The sequence below is a fragment of the Homo sapiens genome, chromosome 20 (genome assembly GCF_000001405.40).
Source record: "Homo sapiens chromosome 20, GRCh38.p14 Primary Assembly".
Classification (NCBI taxonomy): Eukaryota; Metazoa; Chordata; class Mammalia; order Primates; family Hominidae; genus Homo; species Homo sapiens.
Window position 1 is genome coordinate 42,104,179 of NC_000020.11, and position 23,660 is coordinate 42,127,838.

General features: G+C 46.1%; 1 protein-coding gene and 1 long non-coding RNA gene across 16 annotated transcripts in view; one reads left to right on the forward strand and one right to left on the reverse strand.

Annotated features, from left to right (window-relative positions):
* Nucleotides 1–4,326, forward strand: part of LOC101927182 (uncharacterized) — a 204,657-nt gene extending 200,331 nt beyond the window's left edge. For 4 of the 5 annotated variants that reach the window (XR_001754611.2, XR_001754609.2, XR_244179.4 and 1 more), the window contains 2 exons: nucleotides 2,623–2,754; nucleotides 3,064–4,326. This is a non-coding gene — a long non-coding RNA (uncharacterized LOC101927182). Of the gene's footprint in view, nucleotides 1–2,567; nucleotides 2,755–3,063 lie in introns of all 5 variants that reach the window. The other variant, XR_001754608.2, reaches the window with a different exon arrangement.
* PTPRT (protein tyrosine phosphatase receptor type T) overlaps nucleotides 1–23,660 on the reverse strand; it is a 1,158,017-nt gene that overhangs the window by 72,289 nt on the left and 1,062,068 nt on the right. For 8 of the 11 annotated variants that reach the window (XM_047439848.1, NM_007050.6, NM_001394025.1 and 5 more), the window contains 6 exons: nucleotides 15,757–15,793; nucleotides 14,225–14,322; nucleotides 11,021–11,137; nucleotides 6,155–6,309; nucleotides 2,608–2,743; nucleotides 391–540 (listed from right to left, as the gene is read on the reverse strand). In XM_047439848.1, coding sequence (XP_047295804.1) covers nucleotides 391–540; nucleotides 2,608–2,743; nucleotides 6,155–6,309; nucleotides 11,021–11,137; nucleotides 14,225–14,322; nucleotides 15,757–15,793 — 693 coding nt within the window. Of the gene's footprint in view, nucleotides 1–390; nucleotides 541–2,607; nucleotides 2,744–6,154; nucleotides 6,310–11,020; nucleotides 11,138–11,860; nucleotides 11,921–14,224; nucleotides 14,323–15,756; nucleotides 15,794–23,660 lie in introns of all 11 variants that reach the window. The other 3 variants (NM_001394024.1, XM_047439846.1, XM_017027611.2) reach the window with 1 other exon arrangement.

Here is a 23,660-nt window from a genome sequence, read left to right on the forward strand (position 1 = left end):
ACATGTAGGGCCAGGTGTGGTGGCTCCTGCCTGTAATCCCAGCAATTTGGGAGACCAAGGTGGGAGGATTCCTTGAGCCCAGGAGTTGAAGACCATCCTGGGCAACATAGTGAGATCCTATCTCTATAAAAAGTAAAAAAAAGAAGAAATGTGAGAGCTTGCTGCTTCTACTTTCCACCACGTGAATATGCAACGAGAAGACGGCTATCTGCAAGTCAGGAAGTGAGCCCTCCCCAGACACTGGATTTACTGGAAGCTTGATGCTGGGCTTCTCAGCCTCCAGAAATGTAATGAATAAGTGTCTGTCATTTAAACCACCCAATCTATGGAAATTTGTTATAACAACCCAAACTGACTAAGATGGTCACCGAGCCTGGGATTTGCTCATACCTGAAATTCATCTTTGATTTGGCTGGAGTTTGTCTGGGGGTCCAGCCTGCTGATATTGTAGTAGAGAGAACGGAACTCACACACAGGGATGGCAGTGTTGCCACAGAGGCACGCTTCCAGGATGGCATCGTGCACAAACACATATTGCTCCTGCAAAGTCAGAAGAGAGGGAATGGGGTGCCAGGTAAGAACAGTGGCCTGGGAATTAGCTGTCCACATTTAGTGTTGTGGCTATGAAGAATAGACATGATTTATCAATATATTACAGGATCCTTACTTTTTATACTGTAACCCAAAGGGCCAAATTTCCATGTTTCCTAATGATCACCTGAGCTATGGTGGGTCTTGTTTCTGATAGAAGATGTAATAGCATAGTCATGATAAAATGAGAAACTTCTAGACATGCTGTCAGCAGGCGCTCTTGGTGTCCAGCCCATGTCCCCTCAGCTTTCACCTTTACCTGAGGAAGGCTGCTTGCTGCAAACACCTGTGATTGTCTGCTGAAGGCAGAGGGGATACTTGGGCTGTGTGGAAAGGAACCCTCAAGCAATGACAGATGGAGAGTTGAGGATAGAAATCTAAGAAATCTCTCCCTTTAGGTGGAATCACTTGGACACGCATGTGTCTCAGAGTTCGCCAGCAGAATTGGGTTCCAGTTGTCTACAGTGTTTAACAACTTGTTAAAGTAGCCTTTGTTTGTTTCCTTCCCTGCTCTGCCTCACTTTCCCATTCACCAGCCACTGTGTCTTGGGATTACCTTCCAAGCAAATTATTTGCCGGCAAATCTTTGTCTCACGATCTGCTCCCAAAACGTGTCATATCTTCTCCTATCTCAATTCTTTGTACCTGCTGTACTCTCCTCCTGAAACTCCACTCCCTCTTTTCCATACCTTTAATGTTTCATTCTTTCTGGAAAGCCATCTGTTAATCCACCAGGCAGAAGTTGGTGTTACTTCTAGGCCCCAGATAAATGTTTGTTGAGTGACTTTTTCTGCAGAACTTGGTCAGTTTCTCTATAAAGAGTACTTTTCCAGATGCTATGTGATGCATCTGCATTTGAATATGTCTCCCCATATGTCTGACTGCAACCAGCAAGCCTGGCTTCTGCATGCATGGACCTAGGAATAGATAAAGCAGCCCTCTTGGCTTTAGTGCTAGAAGCCTGAAGACTGGCCTGTGTGAGTTAGCTCAGAGCCTATGTGTGTAAACCAATCAATGGTGGTATTCACTGCAGATTCAGAGAGGCTGGCTGTACCAAAACCATGGGTCACTTCCCTTTGCAGGATTGATGATGTGCATAGTTCCCTATCTGTCCCAGCTCTGGTCGCCCAGGCACCCAGAGCCTTCACTAGAACAGAAGATGGGCTCGTTACAGGAATGATAAGCCAAGGTACAGAGTGGGATAGGCAGAAAAGGCTGCTTAGTGAGAGTGTGGTTCTGGCGAAAAAGCAGAGGCCTTTGGGGGTCACATGGACCGAAGTTCTACCACAGTCTGGTATGTGAGGTCTTAGGGACACAATTTCTTAGTTTCTTCTTCATTGATAAATTGGAGATAATACTAGGAGCTACACCATAGCTGGTTTGGAGGAGTAGAAACAATACCGTGACTAGAAAGAATGTATGCTGCCTGGCTCACAGTAGGTACACAACAATAAAGATTAATTCCTTTCAATACTCTTAGGTTTGGGCTCTCCAACTGCACAGAGAGTTGCCTAAAGGTCTGCTTCTCCCTTGAGGGCAGAGGCTGTGTGTTACATCTCTTGAAATGCCCAGCACCCAGCTTAAGTACTCAATTACTTTGTTGATTAAACCATTCCCTGCAGTGACTGAACCATCGCTTGGCACGTAGTGGTCACTGAATAAATGCCAGTCCTTCTCTTTCCTTCTCTATCACTTCACCCAAGGCAAGAATACTATTCCAATAATCCCCGAAATTTGTCATTCTGTCCCTGCTTGGATGGCCTCAGAGATGGAGAACTCACCACCATTCTTCATTGGTGGAACTGCCTGCACTGTAGACCTCCAGGGTTGGCTGGGGCACCCTAGCTTCTACAGTAGTCTCACCATAGTAAGCCACGTGTCTACTCCCTCCTGCTTCTCTCACACCCAGGTCCTTTCCATAGGATGCCCCTACCTATGTGTCTCTCCGTTCTATCATCATGTTTCTCCTTGGTCAGGGCTACAGGTGGCCAACTGTCTTGGCCCCCTAGGACTCACCTCTGTCTGTACCAGGTTGACCCTTTGGGCCCGGAGCTCACGCACGCAGTTGAAGATGTCCACCACCCCTTCATTCTCGGCCATGTCAAGCATGGTGTCAATGGCAATGAAGCAGCCAGTCCGCCCAGCCCCAGCACTGGAAGAGAGGTATGGTCTGTGTTAAGGATCTTCATGGGGGGAACCTGCCCTGGGGAGGCCCCTAGCATTCAGCCCTATCCCCAAGGGTCCTGCTGGGAGGCTCTAGATTATGTGTTCCCACATTTCCTTTCTTAATATGTATAGTTTGTAATGCATGTGCAAACCACACATATACATGCCATTGCCTTGTCTGATGGATAAAATAATACATCCATATAGCATAAAACACCTAGCATGGTTCCTGGCATGCTGGAGCTGCCTCATAGATATGTCTTTCCTATTTTCTACCCTTCTTTTCTCTTCTTTTTTCTTCTTCAGCAAATGGGTTGACGGATGGAAGCAAAGAAGGAGAGGAGAGAGAACAGAGGGGAGATGAATGACAGGACAGAAACGAGAGTCCTCTGAGCTGTCCCCAAGACAGAGAGTGGTTGGTGGAGCACCACGTTCAAAGGCCGGCATCTGGCTCCACCTGCAGCTGTTTTCGCAGGATCGTGAAGCAAGAGTGTCATGAAACTGGAGCAGCTGACCGTCCGGAGACCCTTGTCAGGGATCAAGTTTCTTGATACATACTTACTTGATTTCTGGTCACTAGTGGCTTCTTTAGGAGAATCTCAGACCAAGTATAAAATGGTAGGGGAACTCAACGAGACTCTATGGGCCTTGGCCAGCCCTTTCTAGATCAGTGCTGGGCTCTGAAACATCAGTGCTGACCAAGAGGCACGTAAGACATGTGCCTTACACATGTGCAGTTTTGGATGGGAAGGCCGGGCAGCCTGTCAAGGAGGCCCCCTTCCGCTGCGTTTTCACATCTTGCCTTTCTCATGGAAACAAGTGTCTTTGTCTAACAATGTAGATGTCAAAAGACACACAAAGAGGAAGAGAGATGGAACAAGACAAAAAAGCAATATTGGCTCATGGTAAATCCAAGGGGCACAGGCCAGTGCGGACCACTACCTACAACAATTTGGAAAGTACACCCATTGGAAGCAGAGTCTTCATTCATGAGAAACTTTCATGGTTTGAATGAAGTCTGACTTAAGTTTGCTTCAGAACCTACTCCCCAAAATCCAGATGCGGGGACTCAAGAGACTTGGCCTCTGTGTCTGGGAGGGAGTATAGGGGGGGTCACTCGTGTTTTTTTCTTCAATGTTCATATTCACCATGCTTTAGTATAAAGAATCAGCCCAATTTGGTTCCAAATTTTGGAACAACTATCAATCAATCAGCGGTGACCAAGTTGCCTAGTGTCCGTTTGTTTGTTAGCTTCAGATTTCTGATGCTTTTAACATACCTCCCTGCAGGGTCCTTGTGAGGACAAAGCTGTGTTTATTTCATTTCAGCATCACATAGTAATTGAACACAGGATATTTGAAAAGACCCCCTAGGATTAAATCCTGGCTCTATTACTTATTAGCTGCATGACCTCGGGCAAATGACTTAACCTCTCTGGGTTTCAATACTCATCTATAAAATGATGTTGATAATAATTAAAATACTCACTCATCTATAAAATGATGTTGATAATAATTAATAGATCCACCTCACAGCATTAATAGCACAATATGTATAAATTGGATGAAATTACAATTAAAATGCATAATGCATACAAATTGCTTTGTGCCTGGATACATAGCCATTTTTTATTGAGAAATTATTACTATTATATTCAACAAATATTTATTGAAAATCTAAGATGCAGTAGATGCTGGTATTAGGAGTGGGAATATGAAAACAAACAAACATTGTTCCTGTCCTGAAGGATTAATAAATAATCTGGGGAGGGGGAGAAAGAAAACATTAAGAGGAGGCAGAGAATAATGATATATTAGAGTGCTTACTATATGTCAGGCATTCTCTCTTAGGCACTTAGCCAACCCATTTGGTAATAATTTTCAGAATGGCCCCAGGAGTGGGTACCACTCTGCTCAGATGCATTAAGATGACCTGCTAAGGAGACACATACCGGCGTAGAGCCATCATGCGCCGAAGTCCTGATGATAAACAAACATTTGCCATTGTCTTTCTTTCTTTCTCCCTAACCCTTGATCTGGGTGCTCTTTGGGATATAGAGATGGGGGGCATTAATGATCCATTGCCCTTTGATTGCTATGAGATATAAAGCAAAGCAGAAAATACATGCAAAACATTTAGAGAGTCCAGGATTACCTCCTCATCCTCACTTGCCTTATCTGTGAAATGGGGTTGTGTAGCTACTATTGCTGGGAAGATAAATAAATGGATGCTGTATGAGGACGGGGCTGGCTCTGAGACATCCACAGCTTATGGAGTCTTCCATGGTCTCTTGACTGACACAAACTGCCAGGGCAGGGATGTGATAACTCAAGCATCCAGGGTCTGAAAAGATGGGCTGCCCCAAGGTCATATTGGAAGAGAGAGGCGTTGGGAAGGAGGGGGATGCCAGCTGGCCAGCCTTCAGGTCAGGAAGGCCATCCTCCTCCAATTCTGGACACCCTTGACAGGATACTTCATCTCCATTTGGGAGGATTCAAAGACATGCCACTCATTCTCAATGTGACTTTCTAGGTCAGAGCTGAAAATATCTCTTCTTCATAATAAGGTAAAACCTGGTGCTGTCCATTTCTCTCTATGAGGGACCCTGCAGGCTGGCAAGTGATCTTGAAAATAATATAGAAATGAAAAGAAGCATGCTTCCACCAAGGCGCCCTGCTGCCATGTCAAGGAGCTGAGGGCAAGTGTCTGGAGAAAAGCAGGTGAAATATCCCCACTCTGTGTTTACCTCCTCAGCACTTGAGTTTTTGTATCTGTAAAATGGGAATGTTAATAATGCCCACCTCTCCAGACTGGACGAGAAGTAAATAATGTGGGTAAAATGCACGTGACAGACCCAGCAGATGCTGCCAGTGTTCAGCCTGCCTCCCTGGTGACTGACTTCTTCACTGTTTTCAGGCAACAACAGTAACAATGGCCACTACTGCTATTCCTTTTGTTAGCTGACCTTGTGACCAAGTATCATCAGAAAGCACTGGGCATGGGGGGGACACAGGAAGAGGAGTCTCTAAGAGTAAAGCCACTAGAAAAGATAACATGTCCCTCCCAAGAAAGCCGAGCTGCAGAGGCACACTAGGGTAGGTGGAGGACTTTTTCTTTTTTTTTTTTTTTGAGACAGAGTCTCGCTCTGTCACCCAGGCTGGAGTGCAGTGGCGCGATCTTGGCTCACTGCAACCTCCCGCTCCTGGGTTCAAGCGATTCCTCTGCCTCAGCCTCCCAGGTAGCTGGGATTACAGATGTATGCCACCATGACCAGCTAAGTTTTTGTATCTTTCTTTAGTAGAGACGAGGTTTCACCACGTTGGCCAGGCTGGTCTCGAACTCCTGACCTCGTGATCTGCCCGCCTCGGCCTCCCAAGGTGAAGGACCTTTGACTTACCTGCAGTGGACCACTATGGGCCCAGCTTCCGGGGGGTTGAGGAACTTGACCTGGCGGACGAAGCCCAGAAGGCCAGTGGCATAGCAGGGAACGCCGTGGTCAGGCCAGCTGGTGAAGTGGAAGAGGCGGAGCTCCCGGATCTCATGGTAGCCTTTCTGAGGAAAGAACGGGCCTCTGTTCTTCCAGCTGCTGCCCTCGCATACCCAGCCCAGCAACACGTGGAGCCATAGCTGCTGCACTGAGGAACCTCCCGCAGGGACAGGGCCCTCACAGTGTTTGTTAATAGGTGTTACTGGATAGAGCGATTCTGTAATCAGTTACATTTGGGAAATATGGGATTGTTAAAACGAAACCGATGGCTTTATTGCAGGATTTCTCAGAGTCTTGAGTGTGCTCATACACACTCTGAATGCCCAAGAGGGCCACAGAGCACCCTAGGAGACCTTCTTTTGTTTGCCTAGGGGATCGTCTTTGACAAATGTTTCATAGGAGGTGTATTGAGTACGGATTTAAAGAAATGTTGGCCTTAAGGACCAAGTCAGTCCAAATTGTTTCCAGTGGAATCTGAGGCGTTCAGTGATTGAGGTCTGATATTCTGTAGTGTTCCAGCCTTGGCTGTGATAGTCTGTGTGGCTTTCAAAGTTTATATAACTTAGTACTGACTTCTTTATTAAGTAGATTCTTACTTAGAATGATTACATAAGATGCGAAACAAACAAAGGCAGAGCTTCTCTGATCTGATGGAGACAGAGTGGGGCCTAGAGCTCTGAGCGGTTCCCCTCCCCTTTCACACCCCTCCACCCCTCACAGAGACACACTCCGGGCCCAGTAGTGGTTTTCTGACCATTCCATGGCCAGGTCACACTTCTAAGCCTTCGCTTAGACAGTTCCTGTTCCCTACTATTTTTCTACTTAGCAATCTCCTGCAGATACCCAGAGAACACTGAATAGGAAGAGTCTGTTTGATTATTCATTCATTCCTTCATTGAAAAATCATTTACCAAGTGTGACCTGTGCCCAGCCTTCCCAGCCTTGTGCTAGGTACTAGGAAGGTGAGAATAAAAGCCACAGCTCCTATCCCTGGAACAGCTCATGGCCTTGTCGGGGAGGCAGATGCCCAAGTGGGTAATTCTATTGAAGTGGATAAAGGAGTGCCTGCTAACCTGATCTGAGGAGAAGAGAAATCCCAGAAGGCTTTCTGGAGGAGGTGATGCTTGACCTCCATCTTGAAACAGACTAATAGTGAAAATAATAACTAACAAACATTAACTAAGCATTTACTGTGTGCCAGTCACTCTTCTGAACACTTCAACATGCTAACTTACTTAATCCTGATATAAATCCCTATATTTTTATCTCCATTTGATGGATCAGGAAACTGAGGCTAAACAAGGTTAAGTGACACACCCAAGGTCACAGTACAACTCACAAGTTGTAAAGGGACCATGTGAACCCTGGCTGTCTGTCTCCACAGTCTGCACTCTTAATCATTCTAATATAGTGATGTGTGAGTATTACCCAGTTGACGGGAGAAGAGGAAGGAATCCAAGGCAGGGGGACAGCATGGGCACAGGCCTGGGGACAGGGCTTAGCATGGTGTGTGCAGAGAATCACTAGCAACCCAGGGCAATGCTAGAGGCAAGTGGAAGTCAGGCCATGGGAGACCACAGGCCTGGGGGTGCAGGAGAATAGATGAGAGCTGGATCCCAGAAGGCCTTGAATCTACATTAAGGCCTTTGGACTTTATCTCAAAGGCACTGGGAAGCTACAGGGAGATTACACAGACGGTTCCACACAAGAGGAAGTGCATCATTAGACTTGCATTTTAGGAGGCTGCATCCTGCTACATGAAGGATGGATTCAGGTGGGTGGATCGGGGGTTGCAGAGAGGGCACTATTGGTGCCCACTCAGATCCCCATCACTGGGCCAGTGGACTCATTGCCACCTGCTCTGAGTCGTGGCTGCACACAGCTCACAGTTACCCTCTTCTGAAGAGAACTGTTCTCAGCTGAACAGGAACCCCCCTCCCCTGGGGTGTGGCTGGGTGGGGCAGCATCCTTCAGTGACTGACTGATAGTAGAGGGAGAGTGACCAACTGGCTTGCCACTTGCTCAGTCTGCCCAGGACTGACGGGTTGCCCGGTACGTGGGACTTTCAGTGCTAAAACCAGTAATGTTCTGGGAAAAACAGAAATTTTTTTTACCCTTATGGGGGGCACCTGAGGCCCCTTTGCCTCAAGGTTGGACCAAGTGTGCAGTACCATTCATGTTCCAGGGCTCCCATGGGGTTAGGTGGAAGCAAGTCTCTGCTGAGGCCACTTCCTCACTCAGCTCCTTTCCCCACCCCATCCTGGCTCTCTCACTGCCTTCCCCCTGCAAACTCTCCCTAAACACATGAGCCAGGGCACCCAAACGACTGCTGCTTCTGGCTCTGCTTCTGGGAAACCCAAACTAACATAGGGGCAGGACTAGAGGCAGACAGTCCTGTTAGGAGGGAGAAATCAGATGCCCAGATGAAGGCAGTGATGAATGAGCTGAAGTGAGAGAGGAGAAAGCTTCAAGAATACTTGGACTTTTTTCACGCCATCCTCCAAATCAATTCAGTCCCAAGAAGCCTTCCTTCGAGCTCTTCCCACCTGTGCTGTGATGATTTATCAAGGATCCTCTCTCCCCGATGCGTCTGTGCTGTCTTCAAGGGCAGACAGCACTCCCTGTTTATTATTTCCAGGTTCCCAGCTCAGGAACCGATTTTGAGCTAAAATCGCAGGTAATGTTTGCTGAGTGCCTGCCTGCATGCTGTGGAGAGGCTGGCTAAGCCCAGTTAATCCTCAGAGGCCCTTGGGGTCTTTTAAGGGCATCTCCCTGTGAGTAATATCTTCCCTCGTGGTTGTTTAAAAGACAAAGAAAATGTAACACGAGAAAGGACCTTAATGCCTCAACATGGTTTGCTAGCTGCAATTCCTCAAGGCCTCCCTGCCCGTGTCGCCAGTCACTCATCCCATCCTCGGGCATTCAACACAGATGTGGCAGATGAGACTGGTACCCCTGGGTCCTCTTCCTTGGGCCTGTGCTTCCAGGCCTGAGCTGCAGGGACTGTTGGTTGCTACTGCCTTTCAATTGTCCCCTTCTCTGGAGACACGCCCTCAGCTGACAGGGGCTGGCCCACCCTGGAGGTTACCCCTCAGTGGATGGTCCACGATCAGCAGACTGACTGACGTGGGAGCACAGAAGTCTGGCTTCCACGCCTTAAGGGGGACAACTCACTCTGTGGCATAGTTTATCCTTGGAGGTTCCCTGTGGATCAGCTCTAGGCTAGACTTCACTGGAGCCTCTGTCCTTGGTTGGTGTCTTTCCTTCCCTCTCCTGCTTCCCACTCTCTCTTAGGAATTTCTCCTGGGAGAGCTCCCCTGATATACCTCATGTTTCTGAATCCTTGCCTCAGGCTCTGCTTCTAAAAAACCTGACCTAAGGCAACATTGAAGTACCGATGGTTTCCTTCCTCTTAGTGGAGGGAGTTCACAGGCTTCCTGACTTTTTCACCCGAGACTGCAGATTCAGATGAAAAAGACCCTGAGACTTTAGGAGCCTGGGGGTTGGAGGGGGAGCTTCCGGGGCAAACAGTATGTCCTAGGCCACTCTGTATGCTGGAACAGTACTGTGTGCATGCCGGGCTCTAGTCTGCAGAGCAGCCTGCTTTGGCCCTTGCAAGGACTTGTCAAAGCCTCAAGGGCACAGCTCTCAAAGCATGTAAGTCCCCAGTGCTTTTGCATCCTTAGGCCTGTGGCCACATTGTCTATTAAAGTGATTGGTTTTAGAGAAATGGAACCTATGGTGTAATGGAAAGAGAAATGTGTTACAGGAGCCAAGGTGTGAATCCTGGTTGTACCAACCTTGCAGCTGGGCAACTTTGGATGACTGATTTAAACTCTCTGTGTCTCAGTTTCTTCATATGTAAAATGGGGATAATAATAGTGCTTACCTTATAGGGTTATTGGGAGGATTAACTGAGTTACTCTACGCAAAGCATTTAGAAAAGTACCTGGTCCAGTAAGTGCTCAGTAAGTGTTAGCTATCATTATGATATAATAGTAATGATAGAATAGCAATTATTATGTAACATGTTATAAATATATTTATTTGCAATCACATCCTTGCTCACCAAGCTTGTGCAGCCCTGGCCTCCTTTTAATGTCCAGACCAGCATTTCTCAACCTCGACACTACTGATGCCTTGGGCTGGATAATCCTTTGTTGTCGGAGGCTGTCCTGTGCATTGTGGAATGTTTATAAGCATCTCTGGCCTCTCCACCCACTAGGTGCCAGTACCATCCTAACCCTTCTCCCCCAAGTTGTGTCAACCAAAAATGTTGCCAGACATTTACAAATATTCCTTGGGGGATCAAAATGCCCCCGGTTGAGACCACATGCCTTGAACAGGTTGAGATCACTTTTTCCCCTCCAGACTGCATGTTTTTTCCTTCTGCCTGGGATAGCTCTTCTTTCCTTTCTACCCTTCACTGGTTCCTCCTCCCTCATTCTCTGCCCAAATGCCTCCTCTGCTAAGAGGCCCTCTCCTACCACCCCATCCTACTGTGGATTTCTATCTCCATCCTTTGCATATTCCTGTGTGGCTTTTATCACAATGTGTTGTTATTTCATTGATTTGCTTATTGAATTCAGTTTGCCCCACCTACTAGATGTGGGATCCCTGGTAGCAGGACCCATGTCTGCCCTGATTGCTGATCTGTTGCTGGTGCCAAGTATGGGGCTGGACGTAGAGCAGACCCTCAGTTACCACATGTTCTGGATGAACAAACAAGCTGGCTCTCATGGTGGACCGGCTGCCCACAGCCTCCAAGAAGCTTACCTTCTGGACTGTGAAGGTGCGTATGACGTATTCTGCCAGGGGCTCTGTTTCAATCAGGGTGACTTTAATGTCTCCGTAGACCTCCGTGTCATCTGGCCAGTATCGCACACATTTCACCTGTGGCCAAGTGAGAGACAGAGACAGAGACAGAACAGAGACAAGGATGCATAAGCACATGGCTGAGTGTGAGCAGCTGTCTCATCTGGTCGTCCCATCCAAATAAACCCAAGGGTGACTTTGGTGGCATTTCAGTCCACAGGGTTCACAGCTGGCCAGGGATCAGCAAGCTGCACAGGGCCAAGCTCACTCCCAGAGGCACTGGAGCCATTAGAAATAATTGTAGTACCTTCTTTTGCAAAGCTCCTTGTAACTTTCCAATGCATTATCACACTATGTCATCAAATAGAACAAGGTGAGATAGGTGGGTGTTATTGTCCCCACTTTACAGATGAAAATAATACTGAAGTTCAGAGGTTTGGTGACTTGTCCAAGGCCATGTGGCCAGTTTGGGGACTGACTGAGTCCCCTTTCTGCTCTGTCAGGGTGGAGCAGCTGAGTATCATCAGCTGAGCAAAGATGAGAATAAAAGGTGGGAAATAGGAGGTGGAAGCAGAAGTGGTTGGGAGGGGGACATCATTAAGAGGTGGCAGTTGGGGGTCTGGAAGGAGAAAGGCTCTTGGTTGGGAAAAGGATGGTAGCTGCTGGACTCCAAGGGAAGATGCGCAGTTCCTCTCTGACCCTGGACGCGAGCAAGCCATTCCCCAGTCGACTGTTTAAGTCGCACTCATGGATGAAAAAGAGATCATGGTTTTCCCCTTAAAAGAACAAAAGCATGATTACCATTCCGGGGGACGCCGCACGGCCTAGAGTGGCATTTCCCACAGTGTGTTCCGCTGGGTGCTAATAGGTGTTAGGTAAAAAACAAGAAACAAAAAACAAACAAAAAAAGGTTTTGTGGTCAAATGAGTTTGGGAAATGCTGTATTACACAGTTAAATAGGCAGCTTTGCTACAGGACTATTCAGCTTCTTTCTCATGCTAGTGCTAATGTGTTTTGTGTTTTGCGACTCTCCAAAAGGGGCACAGAGGACGCAGCATTTCCCAAACGTATTTAACCGTGGAACCCTCTTCTCACTAATCATCCTGCAGACTAGCATCCCATGGAACCCACTTAGGGAAACACTGGTATAGTGCAACAGAGCATGGGGGCAAATGGATTCATTGTTTGGTCCTAACACTCAGTATCTGGGTGGCCCAAGAAAGTGCTGAAACCTCTCTGAGCCTCAGCTTCCTATCAATAATGATAGCTAACATTTACTGACTGTGTACTCTGTCTACCACGGCTCACAAAGTGTTCTGCGAATACTTTACATGTATTAATTCTAATGACTTATCAACACAACTTTATGAAGTAGATATTATCATCCCCATTTTGCAGACGAGGAAGCATAGGAAAGCTAAGAAAATTGCCCAAGGTCAACTGTTGGTAAGGGATGGGGCCAGGATGCAAACCCAGGGCACTTGAATAATAACTAGGAACATGGGCTCCTATGATGGTTGTAGGTTTCGGTAATGCACAATAAGCACCTGGCACAGTGTTTGGCACTAGCAGGAGCTTATCTAAGAGACTGCTTTCCTCCCCAAATCCAATTTAGATTTATGGTCTATCCATCAAGGGAATCTGTTTCCAATGGGGGATATATTGTAGAACAGGCTGGAATTTGCCTCTGAATCCCTGAATCCTGGGCTGGCCTTTATGTCCACAGTAGCTGCACCCTGGGCCTGGGTCCCTGGGGAACAGTCTGAGTGGAGTGACCACAAGCACTGGAATCAGAGTCCAGCGTCAGATTTTGTGCCTAGGTTTTGGCTGAGTGACGTCAGGGTAGGTACTCTACCCCTTTAGGTCTGTTTCCTCATCTGTAAAATTGAGTGATGGACTAGATAAGGGTGGACTCATGGGTAAAGTCTCACCTGGTCCTAAATTCCCATTAGGCCCTGAGATGTCCATACCCCTTTATTGGATTACGAAAGCCCAGATTGTCTCCTTCCCATCGTCGCAGAGGCCAGAATTCATCTTTATGAATTATCTGTTTCTTACCCAAACAAAAACTTACCTGCCCACATTTTAGTTAGTTCATATGATGTGTAGAGAGCCCTTTTAATTCTCGTGTTTGTACACCTTGCCTTTAAACTCAGCAGCCCACCCACATGCCAGAGTTAACTAAGTAGGCAAAAGCAAGCTGGGAATAGCAGTCCCATTTCTAAGCCCCAGGAGTAGTTGAGGACCACTTCAGAGAGAGTTGAGATGGAGCAGAGCAGGAGACCAAGATCTGAGCCCTGAAGAACATCAAGATTTAGAGGTCAGGGGAAGAAGAGCGGGTAGCAAAGGGTTGGATGCTGCTGAGATTGAGTAAGATGAGAAGAGAGAAGTGGAGACTGGATTTGTCGACATGAAGGGTGCGAGTGATATTGACAATATCACTATTGGTGGGATGGAGGGAGGAGCTACGCTGCGGTGGGTAGAAGAGAACATGAGTGAAGAAACAGAGCCACCCTGTGAGTCTTTAAAGTTTGGCAGAAAAGAGGGAACAAGAAAATACTTTTTATTTACCTTTTCCTTTCTTTTTAAGATGGAAGGTACTGGGCATGTTTGTATGCTAAGGGGAACAATTTGGCAATGAGAAAGAGACTTATTTTGCAAGTGAGAAAGGGAAAAATGAAAAAAATTATTGAGTAGAATCTGTGATCCAGGCACTATGCTTGCCTTTGGAAGGGCAGAGACATGGCTTCTGTTGTGTTAGGCTGAGCCATAGGAAACAGTTGACATTCGACCATTTGGGTCAACAAAAACAGCCATTTCTTATAGTCAAATCTGACAGCAGAGGAGAAGAACAAGAGGACAGTTGTAGATACAAGTAGGATTGTGGTGTGACAATGAGGGAGTGAACGACTGATGGTTTTAATTTCCTCAAAATATATGAGATGACATCATCAACGGAGAGTGAGGGTGTAAAAAGGGATGAAGGGGATTTGAAGGGAAAGGACATTGCTTGAATGTGGAATAGGAGTGATGACACCTCCCTTGTAGGTTGCCGTGAGGGTGAAATACTGACTAGGAGGCACTTAGCACGATGCATGGAACAAAGAGATGTTCGAGAGTGCATCTCCAGCATCCTCTGCCCAGGCGAGTGCAGGAGAGGCTTACCCTGCCCACTTCCACCAGGTTTGTGACCATGACGATGCTGGCGGAGTTCTCCTGCCAGATCATTCTCCAAAAGTCCTTTACAGTCTCCTGCATCGGACCTGCCAACAGAGAAGACAGTGAGGTTAGAGAATGCAAGTGCAAAGCAGCAGCTGAGAAGGTTTGTCCCCCCGGTTGGTCAAGTCTCCACACTGGTGAGCAGGAGTGAGGCCAGGTGATCCTTGTTAAGACACCAAGTATCTGAGACACGGGCCTGAGACATGTGAGCCTGATGGGGACAGATTAGGGTATGGATGGGGAAAGGCTCATTCCAAGCTCTCACAATCTGCAGCATCTACTGGAAATGTTGGCAGCCTCTCCTCTCCCTTCTGTCCTCCTCCTGCTCAGACCCTTTCTACCAACTCCACCTATCACCTTATCTGGACTGTATTATGGCTTAAGGGAGTTTTCGAAAATTGGTCTCCAGAACCTCCATGAGAGACAGGAAGGCAACTGGGGTGGGGGGTGGAGAGAGCTGCAGGGTGCCAGACGCTGAGAACAAAAACAGGAGATGCCTGATTTTGTGCTTGACAAATGCTGGAGGCATTCCTCTAGGGCCTCAACAGAAAGGAAGGAAAAAAAAAAAAAAAAAAAAAAAAAAAAGACCAGGAGCAGAAAATAGGCTCTGACAGTCCAAAGCAATTTCCTTGGAAATTACTCTTTCAATGTCCTGGGCCTTCATCATTTTTAAAATTACAAAAGTAATACATGTGTTTGATATAAAAGTTTGAATACCATTTTTCTATATTTATATGTATATGTGTGTATTTACTGTAATAAGCATCAGACCTATTATATGCATTTTCTGATGCCCTTAAAAATTCTTACCAAGCGTAACAGTTTTAATAGCTGCGAAGTTTTCTATAATATGGCGGTAACACACTTTATGTAACCAACGTACCAATTGTTGGGCATTTAAGATTTTTCGCTTTTTTATTCCTATTATAGATAACACCGTGAATAATGTTCTTATATGCGTCATTGTCTATATATATAATTATCTGCAGGATTTTTTTCCAGAAGGGTTTGAAAGGTACGATCATTTTTAAGCCTTCTGAAAACGCACTGCCAAGTTACTTTCTAGGGCAGCCAGCTGCATATCTGTTATGGGCATGCACCTATCGTGGAGATAAGGCACCATCAGCTCCGGCCCTGGCAGGTGTTGATGGCACCTGCTTGGGCCTCTCCCTCCTGACCAAGTGAAGCTCCTTGCTCTGTCACTCATGGGCCTTTTTCCTATAGTGAAACTTGCCACCATTTTCCTTCCCAAATAAACAAATGAACAATCTCAAGGACCTCTGGAGAGTCTTCAGCCTACCCCTCCGTGGCTTCTTTGCTGGTGGAAACTCATTCCTCTCCTCCAGGGCTGTTTAGTGAAAAAGGAGGGTTGGAGTAACAGATATAGGAGGAGAGGACAAGCCTTGCAGTTAAGAGAGCCCTTTCCCCTGGGACCCCTGAAGCCTCTCTGAGGCACTAGGTGGAGGGAGGGCACTTACCTTGAGTCGCAATGTAGTGCCGAGGTCGATGGTATCCCTGGATAACAGGAGAAAAGCACTGTGAAGAGTCTGTTGTCAAAGCTTGCAAACAGCACAATATTAATAAACATCCTCTCCAAGTCTTGATTTTCTCATGGGCAAAATGAGAACAGCATCAGTTATTCCCAGAGAAGTGGCAAAGGTTAAATGAGATATTGCACATAAAGTGTGTAGTAAGTCACTAAATGCTAGCTATTTTTATAGTTACTTGTGAGGTGCCTACATAGGCTTGCCTTGGAGCCAGTGGCACTGGGAGCAAAGATTGGATGGGCATTGCTTATCCTTATGCACCCAAAAACAGGTAGAGAAGGAGTTTCCAGGTTTATGGGGAGCATCAACCACCAAAAAGTCTTTCTTGAGCCATGATTATATGAAGAACACTGTACAAGACCCTATGGGACACCCAGAGAAGAAAAAGGAAGAAAACAATTCAATTGTTGACTTCTTCCATTAGTAACAATTAGAAAAAGAAAATTGAGAAGCATCCCACATTGCTTCTCTATGCCAACATTCCTGGGCTTGGAATTGAAGTCCCAGGTACGGAGAAGACCTTATGGAAGGCTGACCTGGGAGACCCATAAAGATACCTGCAAATACAAAGACCAGTTTCTAATTTCTCTGTACATTTCAGAGCACTACAGTAGGCCCTGCTGTACTCTGGTTGGGGAGTACCCTGCTGCCCCATAACCTTCATCATTGGACAAGAGGTTGAAGGTGACCCCTCTTTTGCCTGGACATGGCATACATGGAGTGTCCTCTTTCCAGTTACAGTCATATTGAGTAGAAGTTTAAGTTTTGGAGACAGACCTGCATTTAGTGCAGAACACTGAATGCAATTAGTATTTGTTAAATAAATACATGAGTGAATAAATGAATAGATGAATAAAATTTTTAAAGAACACAGATGCCAATTTTAGAGCCTATCAATTGGGAGATTGTTGACAGTCCTGAAATCCACTTAGCTTTTATGGTTAACCATGTCCAGAGAAAATAAGTCCTAAAGTTTGATGAACATCTGTCTTTGTCTTAGATGTTGCTGACCAGTCTTTTTGCCCTGTTGAGGTAGATGAACTGCCTCGAGGCCACTTTCTTCAGGAAATAGAACTGCCATCTGTATGGTTTATGGTGCCACAGATGTGGCATCTCTAAAGTTCTAGACCCACTTTCTGATACAAAGACAAGTTTCTGCGTCCCTTGTACATTTCTCCACCTTTGTGTTTCACTTGCTCGATAATGATTTTGCAGGCACCTTCCAATTGCTGGGCCTGCTCTAGAGTTGGAGGTTGGCACCAATCCAGGGGCAATGTCATGACCAGAACTGTTGGATTAACCGCAGAGCAATCAACAGCCCTACTAAAACTCTGTGCTTGAGGACTCCTATGTACTTAGTGAGGTTGTCAGTTTCTTAAGGACAAACACTCCCTACTAAGCTTAAAATTTTTTTTGTCACAGAGCTCAGCACAATGTGAGACTCAGAGCAAATACCCAATAAACAAGCTGTTGACAAACCAACTAGGCAGGCAACACAGCATGGTGGTTATGCGTACCATGGACTCCGGAACTCAGCTGCCTGGGTTTGAACGCTGGCTCTGTCCCTTCTAGGGTGTGTGGTCTAGGGCAAGCTACTTAGTCTCATTGTGCCTCAGTTTTAAAATTCACAATAACAAAGATATGAAATCAACCTATGTGTCCATCTCAATGGATGACTGAATAAAGAAATTTTTTATATATATATATATATATAGTATTCCATATATATATGGATATATATGAAGAGATATATATATATAGATGTAGTATTCCATGGTGTGTGTATATACATATATATGTGTACCATGGAATACTACTAAGCCATAAAAAATAATGAAATCATGACTTTTGCAGCAACATGGATACATGGATGGGCCTGGAGGCCATTATCTTAAGCAAAAAACTCCCAGAAACAGAAAGTCAAATACCGCATGTTTTCACTTACAGTGGGAGCTAAATAATGTGTACATATGGATGTAAAGTGTGGAATCGTAGACATTGGTGACTCAGAAGGTTGGCAGGGTAGGAGGGTGGTGAGAGGGATGAGAAATAATTTAATAGGTGCAATGTATACTATTCAGGTGATGGTTACACTAAAAGCCTATACTTCACCACTGTGCAATACATACAGTAACAAAACTGCACTTGTGCTCTCTAAATCTATAAAATTAAAAAATTAATGGGGATAATGGTATTTACCTCATAGTGTTGTTGACCAGATTAAATGAGTTGATATATAACAGTTACTATGTGCCAGGCACTATTCTAAGATTTAACATATATGTCTTTGCTATTGTTATTTTATTGTTTATTTGGCAAATATTTATTTACTGAGTGCCTATCAAGACTAAAAGTGTATGCAGGCCTCTCAGGGGACACTGGGATGATGAGACCTTCTTTGTGTTAATGTAATAACTGAGCCCTTCCCTGTGACACAAGGGGTAGGAAGACCTATCCCTTCCTCCAAGTCAAGTGGACAGGGCTGCTCAGGCTAAAAGAAAGAATTAAACCCAAGGGTTGTCTTGAGTAGCTTTGGGAATAGAAAATAGTCCCCTAGATCCTGGAAAGATGCAGTTTCTCAAGTCTGCCCTCTTCTGCCATTCCCATCACTCATTCCCACAGCCCTCATCCTCCCTGGCTGAGGCCACAGCACCAACCACTAGCTGGCTTCCCTGCCTGCAGTTTCACTCTGTAGCCTTGCTGCTTCCTAACCCCATGAGCTTCCTCTTGCACACTGAGTGTGTTATTTCCCTGCTTATAAGCCTGCAGTAGCTCCCTATTGTCTGCATGGTAATGCCAAATGCCTTACCTTCGGACTAGTCATCTGTCTCCATTTTCATCTCCAGCCTCACCTCCAGTTGTCCCTCTTTGTCCACTCCTACAACCCCATGCACCCTGTGCTTCAGCCTCACCAAGCTGCTCTTGAAATATGCTCTCCTCTGGGATACAGAGCTGACTCATTCCTCCTGAGTGGCCCAGTAGGGCTTTGTATATGCTCAGTGAATGCAATTCCATGTGCTGCAGTAAATTTTTTTGTACCTTTCTCCTCCTGGGACATGGGACATGCCACCCAGAGCTGGGTGCAGTTTTCAGCAGTCTGGTTGGTGAAATACATGTATGAATGTTTTTGAGCTGAAGTTGGAGCATCCTCTTAATGCTCAGGCTGGAAGAAAAAGAGACCCTGGAGGAAGCTGTGATTTGGAAGATTCTAATGTGCTTGAAATTCAGTGAGATAACATTTTGAGCAAGAGATTCACATTTTAGTTGTGGAGTTAGATGGCTTGGATTCTCTATTTTGTGAATTCATTTGTTTGCACAGTTATTCACTGTCAATCAACAGGTATTAAGCACCTACTACTATGTACAAGGCACTGGAAATACAAAAGTGGACCCGATGAATGTGGACTTTGCTTTTGAGCAACTTATAGACATCAACAGACTGGGGTAAAGGCTACTAATGGGAAGATGTGGGGACTCTGTGGAGTACCCATGGGAATTGAACAGCCAAGGAGGGTCCCCTCAGAGGAGGTGGTGGTTGATTGGCTCCTTAAACCTAGTTTGGGCATCTTGACACCTCTTGTCATTTCTATTTCATCCTTTCAGTGATGTTCCCAGTTTCTCTGCCATTCTTTCATCATCCACTGGCTCTTGCTCTTCTTCAGAGATAGGGATCACATGTCCATCCAGAGGCCTTAGCACTGGCCATTCCCCGTGCCTGCTATGTCTGCCCCCAGGTACCTGAGTGGCTTGCTCTCTCGCTCCATCCAAGCTTCTGCTCAGTTGTCAATCACGTCTGTGGAGAGTTCATCTCTGACCACCCCATCAGCTTCTTTCCACTTTCTCTGGCTTACTTTTCGTTAGATAACCTATCACCAAATAGCACACTATTCTTTCTTCATTTACATGCTCCCCCAGTTGAATGGGAGCTCCATGAAGCCAGGGCTGGCTTGCTCATGGCCATGTCCCCAGCACCTACAAGTCAGCCTGGGCCATTGGCCTTGAAAAATTCATATTGACTGAATGTACGCATGCTGTGTGCCTGTTCCCACGCTGCATCTGAGTAAAGAGACCCTCCTTGGCTTCCAAAAACCCACGCAGTCCCCAAAGAGAAAACATTCTAACCACGAGACTCCTCAGCAAAGGAGATAAAAGGAAACGTACTGCTCAATTGGGGCTCCTCTGGGGATTCGCCAAGAGCGAGTACAGAAAACTTCCTAACCTTAAAAGAACTTTGAGTTCATTTAAGTCCCACCTACACAGCACGCAGATTGACTGCAAACCAGCACTGGGCCTGCCTCCATCTGTCTGTGAGCAATGGGAAAGAGGTTTGCATCCAAAACGCATTTATCTCACTCTGCACTCATGCATCTGTTACTTACTGGGGACCCAGATACGATATTTATTTCCAGGCTGGTAATTCATAACAGATTTAAGTGGCCAATACATTTTCGGGTGTGCAAACAAACCTGCCAGCGGGATGGTTCAGACAGTAACAGACCACGGCCTCCGGAGGCAGAGACAGGGCTGGCCCCATTCAGCTCATTGTCCCAATGGAGTTATTTTAATGAATCGTCAAGATCCAATTGTAGAGAAATGATTCTAGCATGGGCAGTTAGCTCTTTAGAGAGCCAGGAAGGATTGTGGCTGCGTTGGAGACCAGGGTGATGGAGTGAGGACCTAGTTAGCTGTCTGGAGTACTGTTTTGCCAGGAATCCCTATAGAGACCCCAGGAATTTTATCTTTGCTGGAGTATGTAGTTGGTTCACAATTAATGGAGTTCCTCTACTCTTCACCCTATAGTGGTAACTGTGCAAGGAGTTGCTTGTGGTTGGCTTTCTTCCCTTTGTCCCTCCATTTCCCCTTTTTCCTTCCATGGTCTGCTCTGTATGGATCGCGCCATGGGCTCCTATTCTTTCTGCTTCAAATTGGGTTTAGTCAATGGGGAACAAAAGCAGGAACTCAGAGGCCAGGAGGAGGTTGGGGCATATGTTCTTCTAGGTTCCTCCCTGCCAGGTCTCCATGCCTTGCTTGACCTTGTCACTCAATCAAGGGCTTCAGTTCTTGAAGGGCAGCCCTCTCTCATAGCTACTCTCTTCCCTTATCTGGGTCTAGGGCTGGTAAGGACTCCCTACTATTGTTAGCCTAGTGATACTGCACCCTACCCTACTGGTTTCTCTTAATCCTGTTCACATCCTTATTAAACTTTCCCTGGGTACCCACTTTGGGGAAGCCTATGTTTCCTTTTGGGATCATGACAGATACTTTACATCAGTAATTGCACACTTGTGGGGTGGCATCATTATCTCATTTTATAGATATCAGAATGATTAAGTAATTTACCCAAGATCATAAAGCTAGTAATCAAAAAGGCCTGGATTCAACACAGGTCTTCAACACAGACCAGATTCATGACTTTATTGGCCCTGGATTCTAACCACTGAGATTGAGCCTGGAGTTCAATATCCCATAATAAGACAGCATGAACAGAGGCCATTTGCCCTGTCTGCCTAACCTATTACAGACAGAAGAAGAAGGTCGTGGTGTGTCCTAAGTGGGCAGAGAACTGAAGTTCAGTTGTGTGACCTTGGACAGTGCTCTTAACCTACAGCTCTGGTTTCCTGTCTTTAAAGGCTTGAAACATGCCTTGCAATGATAAAACAGGAAATGAATCAGAGGCATAATTAGCAGTTGTAGAGATTAACTTGCATTTAAAGCAATTTCGTTTGTTGCCTATAAAATACCAAAGTGTATCTTGGCCCTGACTGTAGTCAGATGCTCATTCAACTTTGGAGTGAGTGCCTATCTAGGAAAATGACTTTTGTTGGGGGATTCTAGTCAAATGATGAATGCCAGATACAGAAACTCAGGCATGCCAGACCCTGTGTGGCCTGTGGTCCTTAGGGTCATATCCATGCAGCCATAGACAAGGTCGAGGAGAAATGGAAGGAATCAATTCAACCTGCATCAATATATGCTGACTCGGTCCTTGCTGTGTGTTGGCTACAAGGCGGTGTCTGGGAGTGGGGGGGGGGAGGGGAAGGAGAAAGAGTGCTAAACTGGGAGCCATTCAGGTCTGGTTCCCATCCTGGTTCTGCCACTGACCAGCTGCATGGCCTGAGACGTATTTGTGATTTCTCTAAACCTTAGCCCTCCCCATCTGGAGAATGGGAATGAGAACACCTACCTTGAAGGGTTGTTAAGAAGTTTTGATAAGCTGACTTACTTGAGCCACCCATCATAGGACCCCAAGAGTGACTCATTAAGAGCCAGTTGGTGTTGTCATTGCTCACTGTGATTATTAAAGACAGCAGGGTATGGTGGGAGAGGTACTCTTGACTCAAATTTCTGCTCCCTCCTCCCCTACCTCCTAGCAGTATAATCCTGGACAAGTTATATAATCTTAAGAGACTCACTTACTCATCTGGAAATGGGTAGTAGTGGTACTTACCTTGTGAAGTTGTGATACTAGTTAAGGTGATGTTGGTACATGAAAGGTGATCAGTAATTCTTAGGTTACTATAAACCCTTCTTGCCTGGCTGGCTCTAAGTCATCTTTCAAGGCAGAACTGAGACATCACCTCCTCCAGGGAGCCTTCACTGGCTACTTCCCTTTCCCACCAACTTGAAGCTTTGATTTTCCTTTATGGTCCCACAGCCCCTGCTCTGTGAAGGTCTATTTTCTTATCTGACTCCCTCACCAGATTTGAGTCCCTTTTAGGTCAGAGACCTGGTCTTAAAAGTCAGTATTTCCCATACACAGTGGAGGGTCTGCTCTGTGTTTGTGAACTGAATACTGGATGTATGAAGGAAAGGCTGCTGGCATGATGGATGTATGCTCAGAGTGCCTTGCTCTGGGCTGGAGAAAAGCTATTCAGAACTGGCTGTCTCCTGTGAACTTTTCTGGAAGGGCTATGGTGGCAGAGACGGTGTTCATCTTCAACTCCACTGAAGTTGCAGCCTCAGTTCTTGGCCATGTAGTAGGCCCTTTGTTAATTAGGGTGTAGTTAGGGAAACAGAAACCAGTCTATGTGTTTCAGACGAGGCAATTCAGTATGGGGAGTTGGTTACACAAGTGATGGAGGAGCCAAGATGCCAAACAGAGAATAGTGGGGCAACCCAGAGATCAGGGACAGGACTAGGCTGCAACCAACCCTTAGAACTAGTGGGAGAACAGGAGAGGGAGAAATAACTAGAGTCCAGAGTCCAGAAATAACCAGAGCCCCAGTGGGCTGACTGGCAGGAGACTGGACTATGGCAGGCCTGCTTGAGGAAAGATGGAGCCACAGACAGGGTACAGCCACTGCTGGAGTTGCTGCCCAAGGAAGGGAGTGAGATGGAGAATACACTGCCCTTCCATCATCCTCCAGTGTCTGTCTGTCTGTCTGTCTGTCTCTCTCTCTTTCTCTCTCTCTCTCACACACACACACACCCTGCAATGCAAGGCAGAACAGGGAAGGACACAAAATAGATCTGAGGGCAAGCAGTCAGATGATCAATACAAGGCTCAATAAGTATTTGTTGAGTTAATAACTCACCTGGCTTAGTCTAGATTAAGGGGGAATTCACAAACTGCACCACCACACTTTATAGCCTATCTATAAATACATTTGAGAGTCTAGGGGACCAGTATGAATCTCTGTGCCATTCTTCAAGACCCATGGACTGTGAGCTGAGGTCCTGAGATGCATGGCTTGAATCAGTCACATTGGGTTGTCCTTCTGACCTCAGCAGTCATGCTCTTGCTTAGCAAATTCTCTCACTTCCATGCATACCCTTCTTGGCTCCTGTTTGAGTTTAGTCCCTTCCTCAGTCGTCTCTGGAATATTGAAGCAGCC